We start from the raw sequence: 14,476 nt of genomic DNA on the forward strand, positions 1-14,476 counted from the left end.
TCTAGCAAAGATTTTAAAACTAAACAGAAAACAGTAGTCCTTGCCATATGGAAAGGAACAAATTGTAATAGCAACACTCTGGTGGAAGCAGAGGCAAGGGCAATCCTAAACCAAGAAACTACAGCAAACCAATCAGAATGTCCCACTATTCATCACCTGATCTTTAGAAGAAGCTTCAACAACCTTGGACCTGAGTACGTCTGGGGAATCTTGGATAACCGAAACTCAGAGAGGGATTCTGAACTTCTGTCTTGTATGGCTAATGGGGATAGTGTAGAGGTCAAGTAACTAACTAAAGAAATGGAAAAGATACCATCATTTTTATAGTTCCGTCTGGAGCAGTAAGTCTTTCTGGCTATATCCAATTCATCAAGCAAAAATTTGCAAATATACTTGTTTATGTTGAAAGTTCAAAGTTGAATTCTTATTTAGAGCGCATAGTAATTAGTGCCCTTTCTTTCAGTACAGTTATGTAAAAACTATCCATGTTCAAAAAAGTGTAGACATATACGTTTAGAGTACTTTAGCTATATTTAATAAATAAAGCCTAGTAATGAAGATATGACTTTCATTTGCATCACACTTATCACTCTACTCATGCTATTTCATTTTACCATCACTGCACTTCTGTGAATTAAGTCAACTTACAGTTTGGTTATTCCAGATTCAGAGGTTAGATAATGTTTGAAAAGTTAGACCAAGTGCCCAGGTCTTTTGGACCAAGTCACTGTCCATAAATATACAAAGAACCTCAATAAATAGCCAAATGTCCCTTAAAGGACATTAGGATTAAGGATGTAAAGAGGATTCATATTTCTCTCCCTGCCCACACTGGCCACCGTCCATTTCAATTACCTGCCTCTTTGAATTTTTGGAGCAGAAAGGAAAAAGGAGAATGAGAAAGGTGGAAATGCTACTTGTCAAAATAGAAGCCAAAAATTATTTTCCCTCTGATTCTTCTACCGTACCTTTTCTAGAATGTGGTCAAAGAGCTGCCTGCATCCATCACATTGGGGCTTGTTACCATAGAAGTGCCCTGGGCTCCCCTCCAGAACCTGCAACTTGAATCTCTATAACGTGAAGTATGGGGATCTTCATTTGTAGCAGCCTTGTCCAAAAATTAATCTGCACACTAACGCATAAGAACCACTGCATACTCTCTGCAGGGACTGCCTTAAATATTAGGTTAAAATCCTAGTGTTAAAGTTGTTTGATTAACAACATTGGCAATATCACACAATTTGTTTATAAAATCCTAATGAATAGGTCTGTGTTCAAGTTATTATGATCGTATGGAATATTGCCCTTTGCATGTTTCCATCCCCTACAGAAACTACAGAAATGGATCTGCTCGTGACTCGGCCTTTAAAATAAATTACTATATTGTTTTTAAACGTCTCCCTCCTGTCAGCTATTAACGTATGTTATGACCTGAAGAAAATATGTAAAACATCAAAAGAAAAGTCAGCATTGAAATTGGAATTTCGTAATTAAATGATATGTAAAATTTGAATATTATTTGTTCAGTCTTATTCTTCCAGAACCTCAGTTACTTTCTTTTATTAATTCAGACAGTTACCACAGTACTAGTCAGCTATTACTCAGTTCTGATCAAATTCTAATAAAAACTTGGATTAAACAGAATTGGAAGACTTCAGTTTCTGCTTTCGAAAAAAAAAGGGAAATTTCTGCTTTAGAAAAAAACAATGCATGGGGAGAAAAAGAAAAGTATTTGGAAATAATGTATAATATATTACTAAATATAAATGAATATACATAAAAGTCAATTCTTTTTCTATTATAAAAGACCAATTTTCCTAATATCATTTACTTACTAATACTTTCTTCAACAGAATTCTAATGATTATGCTACTATGTTCTAAATTCTCATAGGTGTTTGGCATTAGTTCTATACCACACTGTTTCAATTATTAGAGCTTTATATTATCATAAACGATACACTAGAAGAAGGCCCCTCCTGTTCTACTTTTTCGGAATCGTTTTAGACAACATTTTTGGACCATGACTCCCTGATATAGATTTCAGAATCAGTTTCTTCTGGTTTCATGTAAAATGCTACTGGGAATTTTATTTAAATTGCATTACATCTATGGGTTAATAAAGTAGAAATTTGGCACATCTCTAGTTTTAGTTTTTTCACCCATAACCATGGCAGGTCATCTCATTTATTACGTGCTTTAATAATATTTTATAGTTTCTTTCATAGTGTTGTTTTACATCTTTTTTGACATTTATTTCTGTAGATTTATATTTTTGAGGAGTATTTGTTTTCTATAAGATTTTATATTTGGTTATTACTAATGCATAAAATTGTTTTTATGTGTTTTTTTTGTATTTAGGAATTCTTTTATACTCTCTTTCGTGACTGCAGATTTTTAGTCTTAATGTATGTCCTATCACTTACAAATCAAAATCACTTTGCCTCCTCTTTCCTTTTCATTATGCTATTTTTAAAATTTTTCTGGTTTTAATGCACTTGCCAGATTCTTCAGTAAAATATTAAATAATAATTCTGACAGTATATGTTCTTGTCTTGACTTCAGTCAGAATGCTTCTAAATGTTTTCCCACTAAATATTTGCAAGAGATTTTTGTAGTTTTCCTTTAAATAAAGATAGTTCACTTCTCTTCCTCACTTGCAGAGAGTTTATATATAATAAGCATCAAATTATGTCAGTTGCTTCTTTGAAAACTATTGCTCTCTTTAACTAAATGCTTTTTTAACCTTTTAATTTGTTAATATGGTATACTGCTCTAATAGTTTTTCTGATATTAACTCATCTCTATACTCCTCAAATAAAGCCTCTTGGATATGCATTATTGTTTAATCCTGATGGATTTTATATGGTAGCAATTTATTTAAGATTTTTCACAACAATAGCCATATCGTTGTAGCCTTCTTATTGGTTTTCTCACTCTTGTCTTCCCTGCAGTGTATTCGACACACAGCTGCCTGATGGATCCTTCTATATCAAATCATGTAACACACTAAAAACTGAAGTTCCCAGCAGAGCTCATAAGCCACCCTCTACAACCTCAAGAGATGAATGCATTTCTTCTTCTTACTCCTTTCCTTGCTATTTCTTAAACTGATCAAGAACACCTTTGCCTCGGCACATTTGCCCTTGCTGTTCTCTCTGCCTGGTATGCTTTCCCCCAGATATCTGCATGTCTCATGCTCTAATGTCTTTAGGGATCTGCTCAAATATTACCTCATGAATGAAACCATTCCTAGTCAATTTCTTGAAATAGCACCCCCTCCTCTATTCCTCTCCTATTCAACTCGCTTTATTTTTCTTCATAGCACTTCTCATTACATGACCTAATTTTTAGTTACAGTTACACATTTATTTGTGATTGATGCTCAGGCAGCTAAAATGTGACTTTCAGGAGGGCAAGTATTTTATGGTTTTTTTTTTTTCAATGTGTGTATCCCCATCCATAGAACATTCCTGAACCATGGTAGGTACTCAAGAAAATTGGAGATAGCATTATGTTAGGTAACTGTCTGCCTGTTGTTCATTCACCTATTTGGTAAATATTTCCCACCTACAGTATGCATAGTCCTTTTCTAGACCTCACAGCGCTTATCAGGGTTCAAGCTCCTGAAAGGGAATTTGTGTCTACTCTTGTGGCCAGAAGGCAACTGCTTAGTCATATCCCATATCAAGGTTTAACATGCATCTCAGCACCATATTCAGTCAAGCCAGTCCCTTCCTGAATCCTGGCTCTGCACTAGTGTTTCAACTCTAGCTTTTGACTATAAGGATCCTTCAAAGTGGATTCCTTTTCCACTCAAAGATATCAATAATGCTCCTCCAACTGCTGTCTCGTGCCCCACTCCCAACCTATATTTTGTTTTGCTAACGCCAGCCATTTAGCTTCAGCTCCTGCTCACTTTGACTTTATGTTTCCTCTTCACTTTGGATCATGAGCATTTCTCTCTTGGATTCATAGGCATTTGTTAGCTTTCAGCCATCATGTCTATATATTGGTAACAAGAGACACCACCTTCTGCACTGGCTAAAATTTTATCATGGGAACTGAAATTTTTTTAGTTGTTAAAAAGCTGTGCTTATAACTCTGGATATTACAGGTGGTGAATAATTGTGTAGATCCATCTCTATGGCAATGTGCCCTTAGCAGTCTGGTGAAAAATATAAATCCTAGTTCTTTCTATATTGATTTTTCACCTCATTGTCCTTACAAATATGCTTTTAAAAGTTTTATTTCTAAATCTTCCATAACTATTTCATGACTGTTTTGTGAATCATTTGTGTTTCATAGCCCTATGTGTAAATTATTATTCCAGAGACTCCAAATAATGTCATATTCAGTGTATCACACTGGAGTGGTAGGAATGGGTTACATTACTGCATCTCAAGGTGCCAATAAAATATGCTTGAAAAAGCTCTCACTAAAGATAACTTAGTATAGAACCTCTTAATATGAGCAAAGATAAAAATACTCAGAGGAGTTTAAAATGCACAGGAGAGCCCCAGATCAGAGAAAGAATGCATTTATAATTGGATGGCTTTTACAAAGCTCAATAGAAATTGGATAGAAGGATTGTCTTCCTGCCTTTCCCATGCCAGTCCTGTAATGCCACTATAAGAAATCCTTTCCTAAGGAGCCTAGATTTCCCAATTTCATTAAACAGTTGGCTGAATGTATTCAACATTTGTTAGATTAATTTAGCCATCTTTCTTTGAAAGGAAATGCTCTCCCCAGGGCTTTTTTGTCTTCTTTTTCTTTCTTTTTTAGTTTTAGTTTTTAGCAGGTTTTTTAAATGCCTTTATACCAACACTACTAAATTATGAGAGCGAGATGTCCAGGCATTGTTTTTCCAAACAGCACACTAATTGCTTTGGAAACAATGATAACGCTAGCATGTTTTGAGTTAACATCACTCACATGGCTTACGTCTGCATAATGCAAAAGTAATAGGTTAACTAAACAAGTCCCTCCCTAAAACTGAGTCATTTCAATAAACCAACTAGTTGAAATTATCATTGCTATCTTATAGAGGCAAAAGAACTAGTTAACTGATTTTGCTTTAATGAAAGACCTAAGGATTGTCTATATTATTATTATTATTATTTTTGAGATGGAGTCTCGCTCTGTCTCCCAGGCTGGAGTGCAGTGGCAGGATCTCGGTTCACTGCAACCTCCACTTCCCGGGTTCAAGCAATTCTCCTGCCTCAGCCTCCTGAGTAGCTGGGACTGCAGGTGCGTGCCATCATGCCTGGCTAATTTTTTGTATTTTTAGTAGAGACGGGGTTTCACCATGTTAGCCAGGATGATCTCGATCTTCTGACCTCGTGATCCGCCCACCTCAGCCTCCCAAAGTGCTGGGATTACAGGCATGAGCCTCTGTGCCTGGCCCTGTCTATATTATTTGTAATCATCTTTATGAAAGCCACTTTAGAGTATGTTCTTAGTGTAACATATAAAACTATAATCAAGGTACATATCATTCCTTTATAATATATAAAAGTCATTTAGTAATTCAGAGCAAAAAGAAAGAATCTGGGCATTCTCTTTCGAAGTCTGGTAATAAGTAAAATCAAATACTAGTTAAGAACTCAAACTCCAGAGTCAGGTTGCCTTGTTCAATCCACTTACTAGCTGTGTGACCTTCAGAAAATTACTTCCTCTGTAAAAAGTTACCTCCTCTGTAAAAAGCATATGGTGTGAGCTAAGGTTCCAATTTCATTCCTCTGCATGTGAATATTCAATTCTCCCAACACTATTTGTTGAAGAGACTGTCCTTCCCCATTGTGTGTTCTTGGTGCTTTTCTCAAAAATCAGTAGCTATAAATATATGGACTTATTTCTGGGTTATCTATTCTATTTCATTGTTCTATTTGTCTGTTTTTATGCCAATATCATGCTGTTTTGATTACTATAACTTTGTAGTATATTTTCAAGTCAGGTAGTATAATGCCTGCAGCTGTGTTTTTTCTCAGGATGGCTTTGGCTATTCATGGTCTTTTCCACATGAATTTTAGGATTTTTTTTCTATTTCTATGAAGAATGTTATTGGCATTTTGATAGGGATTGAAATGAATCTGTAGATCACTTTAGATTGTCTGGATATTTTAACCATATTAATTCTTCTCAATCATAACATGGGATATCTTTTCAATTATTTGTATTTTTTTCAATTTCTTTCTCAATGTCTCACAGTTTTCAGTGTAGTGTTTTCACCTCCTTGGTTAAATTTATTTTTAAGTGTTTTCTTTCTTGTAGCTATTAAAAATTGGATTTTTTAAATTTATTTTTCAGATACAGTCATGCATCACTTAATGACAAAGATACATTCTAAGAAATGTGTTGTTAGGTGATTTCATTATTTTTGAATGTCATAAAGTATACTTACACAAACCTAGGTGGTATAGCTTACTGCACACCTAGGATATGTTGTATAGAATATTGCTCCTTGACTACAAAACTCTACAGCTTGTTACTATGCTGAATATGGCAGGTAATTATAGCACAATGGTAAGTATTTGTGTATCTGAATATATCTATACATAGAAACGGTACATTACAAATACAGCATGATTATTTTTGGGGTATATGTTGTTCATCATTTAATGAAATGCCACTATGTGGCAAATGACTGTAGTTCACAGTCAGAGTTTACAAATGATACTGATTTTTATATGTTGATTTTTTTGTATCCTGTAACTTTACTGAATTTGCTTATTAGTTCTAACAGTATTTTAGTGGAGTCTTTAGGATTTTCTATATATAAAATCATGTTATCTGCAAACAGGGAAATTTTAACTTCTTCCTTTCTAATTTGAGTGCTTTCTATTTCTTCCTCTTGTCTAATTGCTCTGGCTAAATTCTTCAGCAGTATATTAGATAGAAGTAGCAATATTGGACATCTTGTATTGTTCCTGATTTTGAGGAAAAGTTTCAAATTTTCCCTGTTAAGTATGTTAGCTGTGGGATTGTGATACATAGCTTTTATTGTGTTGAGGAACATTCCTTCTATGCCTAGTTTGAGAGTTTTTAATCATGAAAGAATGTTAAATTTTATAAAATGCTTTTTCTGTATCTATTGAAATTATCATATGGTTTTTATTCTTTATTCTGTTAATGTGATGTGTCACATTTATTGATTTGTGTATGCTATATCCTTCTGGCAGCCCTAAAATGAATCCCTATCTGTCTTGGTGAATGATCTTTTTAATGTGCTGTTGAATTTTGTTTGCTAGTATTTTGTTAATAATTTTTGCACCTATGTTTATCAGTGATACTGGCCTGCAATTTTCTTTTTCTGTAGTGTCTTTGTCTGGCTTTGGTATCAAGGTGATGCTGCTCTTGTAAAATGAGTTTGGAAGTATTTCCTCCTGTTTAATTCTAGTCTTAGAAGTTCAAAAAAGGAAAAAAACTAAAGGAGTACAAAGCTTATTTAAGGAAATAGTAGCATAAACCTTTCTAAACCTAGTGAAAGATGTCAATAACTAAGTAAACAAAGGTCAAGGTCTCCAATCATATTAAATTCAAATAAAACAACCCCAGGACATATTATAATCAAACTGTCAACAATCAAAGAGAGGATGCTGAAAGCAGCAAGGGAACAGAAGCAAATACCATATAAGGAAGTTCTAATACAGCTAATAGCAGACTTCTTAGCAGAAACCTTACAGGCCGGGAAAGAGAGATGATATGTACAACGGGCTGAAGGAAAAAAATTTCCAACTATGAACGTTGTATCCATCAAGGCTATTTTTGATGCTGTGTCATAAATATTATAAGCTTTTCTTATTCCTTTTCATTATTTTATCTTTTTTTTCCTTTGACTGTATTTTCAAATAACCAGTCTTCAAATTCACAGATTGGTTCTGCTTGATTAATTCTGCTGTTGATGCTGTCTATTTCATTTCCATTTCATTAACTGTACTTTTCAGTTCAAGGATTTCTGTTGCATATTATAATTATTGTCAAGTTTCCTTAAAACGATTATTTTGAATTATTTTTCAGAGAGTTAATATATCTCTATTTCTTTAGGGTCAATCGCTGGAAATTTTTTTGTCCTTTTGGTGATGTCACGTTTCTGTAATTGTTCTTGATCCTTGTAGCTGTGTATTGATATCTGTGCATTTGAAAAAGTAGCTATTTATTCAAATCTTTACAGTTTGGCTTTGCATTGGAAAGTCATGTGGCAGGAGCAATGATGGGGTGTGCCAGAAGCCCACGGTACTTGCAGCCAGCATGGGACTGGAGCGCTCGAGAAGCCTGGGCTCCACTATGGTCAGTTCAGTGCTAGGGAATTCCAGATGCCCAGAGTCAATGTTACCAACATGGCATTGGGGCATGCCAGAGACGTGGGGCCTACTGCAGCAGGCACAGCTCTGAGGCACACCTGAGCCTCAATAGATGCAATCAGCATGGCACTGTGGTATGCTAGAAGTCTGGAATACATGGGACAGTGTTGCTAGAAGGTCAGGGCCTGTGGCAGCTGGCTGGTACTGGGATGTGCCAGAAGCCTGAGGCTCCTGAGAGTTGCCTGCCACTGAGGACTGTCCAGAGCCCAGGATCTCTGAAGTCAGGCTGGCAGTGGTGAAAGATAGAGATTGAGTCTACCACGCAAACCTAAAACCTTGAGCTGTGTGGTACCATCTGGTACTGAGGTGGGTCTAGAGGATTAGTCTGTGAATTGCAGCCTGGATTCTGCAGTTGTGGGGTCTGCCTGGTGCTGAGTTTTACTGTGGTGGACTCAGTGTTGGGATCCAGCGGAAAATCCTGTGCTTACTTTCCTCTCTTCCTGCCAAGTGGAGAGTATGTCTTTTCATGCTCTGCTGCCTGGAATTGGAAAAGAGGTGATTTGGATAATGTAAAACTGTCCTTCCTATCCTCTTCAACGTATCTTTTATTATTATTGTGCTACAACCAGACACTGTGATCTTTCATCTGGTTTTCTTAGACGTTGTAAAGATATTGTGTGCATGGACCAGGTATGGAGGCTCATGCCTGTAATCCCATTTTGGGAGGCCAAGGCAGGAGGATTGTTTGAGCTCAACAGTTTGAGACCAGCCTGGGCAATATACTGGACCTCACCTCTACAAAAAAAAAAAAAAAAAAAAAAAAAAAAAATTAATTAGCTAAGTTTGGTGGCACGCACCTGTAGTCCCAGCTATTCCAGAGGCTGAGGTGGGAGTATCGCTTGAGCCTGGGGAGGCAGAGGTTGCAATGAGCCATGATCATGCCACTGCAGTCCAGCCTGGGTGACAGAGCGAGACTCTGTCTCAAAAAACAAAAACAAAAACAAAAAAACCAGCAACTATGGTTGCTAACAGAATAATTTAGTTTACTGTCCAAGAAAATAAATATATCCCACTTGGATGCCAGGTAATGTAAACTGGTTAAAACTTCCCTAACACAAAATATGCTGAATATTTCATCTCTACCTTTTAATTAAGGCAACATTAAAATATTAGTTTTCTGACTTAAGATAGCTACAGTTACAGAAATAAAATACAGTTGGGATATACTTTTCACTTATTTAAGCTAACCTAACTTCTGATCAAGTATATATTACAGAGAGCATATGGAAGATTCCACTGGAAAGCAGTCCAACTTCTGTATAAATCCTCAAAATAAATTTTCTAGAATTTATTTTATATCATTGAAAATTTTTATTTATATGGAAATATTTTCATTAAATCTAAACCCTGAAAGCAAATGTTTTTATACATTTACAAAAGATTTGGTTTTTAGAATATCTTTCAAGTGAAAGATAGTCATCTGAAAGAATTGCCATTGTAGACAACCTATCCACTCTTCTCTTTCCTGTTCTTTGCTCTGGAAGGCCAACATTTGTGAGCAATACTGAGCTCCCTTGCACTGTGGCTTCCAGTTGGGTTTGATTAATAAAGATCGCTAACATGAGATCAAAAGAAATAAAGTGAGATTATGGTATTTATACCACAGATTTTCTGATCTCTCAACCAGAAGTCACATCTCATGTCAGGCAGCCCTCTCCCCCAGACTTCTATGTCTCTGGATGCCAGGTATATTTTTTTTCTCATGTCAACTTCTCACCTGGGTGATAATCTCGGCTCCAGATACTGTTACCTCCCTTTCCCCTTCTTGTGTGGTGTGGTAATAGCTGTTAATTAGTTCTGGAGCATTACAGTATCACTTGTAGTTTCCCCACACCTTACCCACAGTAAACACCCTCTTTATTAAAATAGTATCTAATTACTCAATTAGTATGCATTCTCATTACACTCAAAACATTCAGCTGAAGTTTTCTTCCAGGACTTTGACTGATAACTTTACCTAAAAATCTTGTAATTATGTCACAAATATATGCTTTGATTTATTCTAGAAAATAGGGTTTACACTTAACACAGTATTTGGCTTTTGTTCATTATTAGTGCTTCAGTGTTTTCTGTTGCCACCTTTCTTCCCTTCAGTTCTATCAAAATGTCTAATGCCTGGTCCCGTCCCTCTATTGCTTTACATGCTTACAAGTAAAAGCTACTGAATCGTGTTAATGTGATAGTTGGTTGGCTCATGTATTTTCAGGTTGACAGGCCTTTTCTGGAAGTAATGCCTTAATTCAAAGAATTATAGTAGATTTCTGAGAAAGTTACCCCAAATTTTATGAAAACATATTTACTTGGGCAAGATGGTCAAATAGAAGCATCTAGCAATTCTCCCCACTTCAGGAACACTAAATTGAAAAACTACACAAAAAAGAACCTTCATAACAACCAAAAATCAGGTGAGCAAACGCAGTACTTGGTTTTAACATCATATTAAGGAAAGAGGCGTTGAGGAGGGTAGAAAAGACAGTCTTGAATAATGTACACCACTCTTCCCTCATCCCCTGGTAGCAGCCACCTGGCACAAAGAGAGAATCTGTGTACTAGAGAGAGGGAGAGTGCAGTGACTGTGGGACTCAGTGCTGCCTTGTAGCAGTGGAAAGCAATATGGGGCAGAACTCAGCTTGCACCCACAGAAGGAGCATTTAGACCAGCCCTAGCCAGAGGCAAATCATCCAGCCCAGTAGTCAGAACCTGAGTTCCAGCAAGTCCTGCCACCACAGGCTAAAGTGCTCTGAGGCCCTCAATAAACCTGAAAAGCAGTCTAGGCCACAAGGACTGCAATTCCTAGGCAAGCTTTGGTGCTGTGCTATAGTCGGAGCCAGTGGAGTTGGGGTGCATGCAACCTAGTGAGATACCAGCCAAGATGACCAAGGGAGTACTGGTGTTACCTCTTCCCCAACCCCAGGCAGCATAGCTCATAGCTTCAGGAGAGGTCTCTTCCTTCCACTTGAGGAGAGGAGAGGAAAGAATAAAGAGGACTTTGTCTTGAAACTGGGATACCAGCTCAGCCACAGTATAATAAGACACTAGGCAGAGTCCAAAGGCCCTGTTCCAGGCCCCAGCTTCTGAAACTGAATAATATTTCTAAACACATCCTGGGCCAGAACAGAACCCACTGCCTTGAAGGGAAAAAAACAGTACTAGCAGAATTTATTGCCTCCTGACCAAGGAGCCCTTGGGTTCTGAATAATCAGCAGTGGTAGCCAGGCAGTACTCACTATGGGATTTGGGTGAAACTCAGAGCCCTGCTGACTTCGGATATGACCCAGCAAGTTCCCAACTATGTTGGCTGCCTGGAGAGATCCATTCTGCTTGAAGAAAGGAGAGGGAGGAGTAAAAGAGACTTTGTCTTGCAGCTTGGATGCCAGCATGACCACGGTGGAGTAGAGCACCAAGCAAGCTACTGAGATCCCCAGTTCTAGGCCTTTTTTCTTGGATGGCATTTCTGGAACTTCCCTGGCCCAGAGGGGAGCTCACTGCCATGAAAGGAGAGACTTGGGAATGACAATATTCATCACAAGCTGACTGAAGAGTCCTTGGGCCTTGAGTGAACATCAGTGGTAGCCAGGTAGTACTTGCCAGGTGGTGGTGACGAAGGAGGGAGACTCCTCCCTTGACCGAAGGGGAAGAAAGAATGAGGAGGATTTTGTCTTGAGGTTTGGGTGCCAGCTCAGGCTCAGTAAGATAGAGCACCATGTAGATTCCTGTGGTTTTCAATTCCAGGCACTGGCTCCCAGATGGCATTTCTGGACCCATACAGAGCTGGGGAGGGAAGGACACAAGCCTGCCTAGATTTGCCACCTGCCGAATGAAGAGCCCTTGGGCCTGGTGTGAACATAGGTGGTAGCCAAGCAGTGGTCACCATGGGTGTTAGCAAGACCTAGTGCTATGCTGACGTTAAATCTAACCCAGTGCAGTCCCAGTAGTGGTGGCCACAGGGATGCTTGCATCATCTGTACCCCAACTCCAGCCAGGTCAGCAGGGAAAGAGAGGCTCCATTTGTTTAGGAAAAGTAAAAGAACAAAGGTCTCCGTCTGATAACCCAAGAAATTATTTTGGATCTTATCCAAGACCACCAAGATGGCACCTCTATAAGTCTGAAAAGTCCACAGTGCTACTGGGCTTGGGGTAACCCCTAAAGCAGATATGACTTCAGTGACAAAAGAATCAGATTACACACCCAACTCACTTTAAGTATCTGGAAAGCCTTCCCAAGAAGGACAAATACAAAGAAGCCCAGACTGTGAAGATTACAATAAATATTTAACTCTTCCATGCGCAGCAGCTGATGAATATTCATAAGCATTAAGACTTTCCAGGAAAACATGATCCCACCAAACAAACTAAATAAGGCAACAGTGACTAATCCCAGAGAGACAGAGCTATGTGACCTTTCAGACAGAGAATTAAAAATAGCTATTTTAAGGAAGCTCAGCAAAATCCAAGATGACACAGAGAATGAATTTAGAATCCTATCAGATAAATTTAACAAACAGATTGAAATTATTAGAAGCAATCAAGCAGAAATTCTGGGGCTGAAAAAATGTAATTGATGTACTGAAGAATGCATCAGAGACTCTTTTTTTTTTGGGTACCAAATTTCTTTATTTGAAGGAATGGTACAAATCAAAGAACTTAAGTGGATGTTTTGGTACAACTTATAGAAAAGGTAAAGGAAACCCCAACATGCATGCACTGCCTTGGTGACCAGGGAAGTCACCCCATGGCTATGGGGAAATTAGCCTGAGGCTTAGCTTTCATTATCACTGTCTCCCAGAGTGTGCTTGTCAAAGAGATATTCTCCCACGCCAGATTCGGGCGCTCCCATCTTGCGCAAGTTGGTCACGTGGTCACCCAATTCTTTGATGGCTTTCACCTGCTCATTCAGGTAATGTATCTCAAGTCACACAAATGGGGGTCATTTTTGTCAGTGGCCAGTTTGTGCAGTTCCAGTAGTGACTGATTCACATTTTTTTCCAAATGTAATGCACACTCCATCGCATTCAGCCCGCTCTCCCAGTCATCACAGTCTGGTTTCTTGATATCCTGAAGGAAGATTCGGCCACCTCATTGGTTCTGCAGCTTCATCAGTTTCTCAGCATGTCCCCTCTCCTCATGAGATTGGTGAAGAAAGTATTTGGCAAAGTTCTTCAAAGCCACATCATCGCGGTCAAAGTAGTAAGACAGGGACAGGTAAACTTAGGAGGCGTAGTGCTCCAGGTTGATCTGGCGGTTGATGGCGGCCTCTGAGTACTGGTGGTAGTTCTGGCGCACCTGCGAGGTGGACGCGGTCGTCATTGCGGCGACTAAGGAGAGGCGGCGGCGGCGGCAGTGGCTGCGCCGCGCTGGAGCAGCGGCGGGAGCCTTGGGGCAGTCCCAGGGCGCCGTGAAGAGGTGACGGAGGGCTGGCTATGGGCGAAACCCCTACGACTCTCGGCGAAGAACGTCTCTCATCAGAGACTCTTAATAGCAGAGTTGACCAAGCAGAAGAATTGGCGAGCTTGACGACAGGCTATTTGAAAATATCCACTCAGAGATAATAAAAGAAAAAGCATGAAGCATGCCTACAAGATCTAGAAAATAGCCTCAAAAGGGCAAATCTAAGAGTTATTGGCCAGTAGAGAGAGAGATAGCAGAGTAGAAAGTTTATTCAAAGGGATAATCACAGAGAACTTCCCAAACCTAGAGAAAGACATCAATATTCAAGAACAAGAAAGTTATATAAAAACAAGCAGATTTAAACCTTATTAAATAAGACTACCTCAAGACATTTAGTAATCAAACTTCGAAAGGTTGAGAATACAGAAAGGATCCTAAAAGAAGCAAGAGAATAAAAACAAATAACATGCCAAGAACCTTCTATATGACTGGCAGCAAATTTCTCAGTGAAAACCTTAAGGGCCAGGAGAGAGTGGCATGACATAGCTAAAGCACTGAAGGAAAAAGTATTTTATCCTAGAATAGTATATCCAGTGAAAATATCCTTTAAAAATGTGGGAGAAATAAAGACTTCTCCAGACAAACTAAAATAAGGGATTTCATCAATACCAGATCTGTCCTATAAGAAATGCTGAAAGAAGTTCTTCAGTCTGAAATAAAAGGATG

The 14,476-nt window shown here is 38.3% G+C and overlaps 1 long non-coding RNA gene and 1 pseudogene across 7 annotated transcripts in view; one reads left to right on the forward strand and one right to left on the reverse strand.

Annotated features, from left to right (window-relative positions):
- Window positions 1–14,476, forward strand: part of SCHLAP1 (SWI/SNF complex antagonist associated with prostate cancer 1) — a 224,836-nt gene that overhangs the window by 167,642 nt on the left and 42,718 nt on the right. The window lies entirely within an intron of this gene.
- Window positions 12,960–13,820, reverse strand: FTH1P20 (ferritin heavy chain 1 pseudogene 20; annotated as a pseudogene).

Source organism: Homo sapiens, chromosome 2, assembly GCF_000001405.40.
Source record: "Homo sapiens chromosome 2, GRCh38.p14 Primary Assembly".
Lineage (NCBI taxonomy): Eukaryota > Metazoa > Chordata > Mammalia > Primates > Hominidae > Homo > Homo sapiens.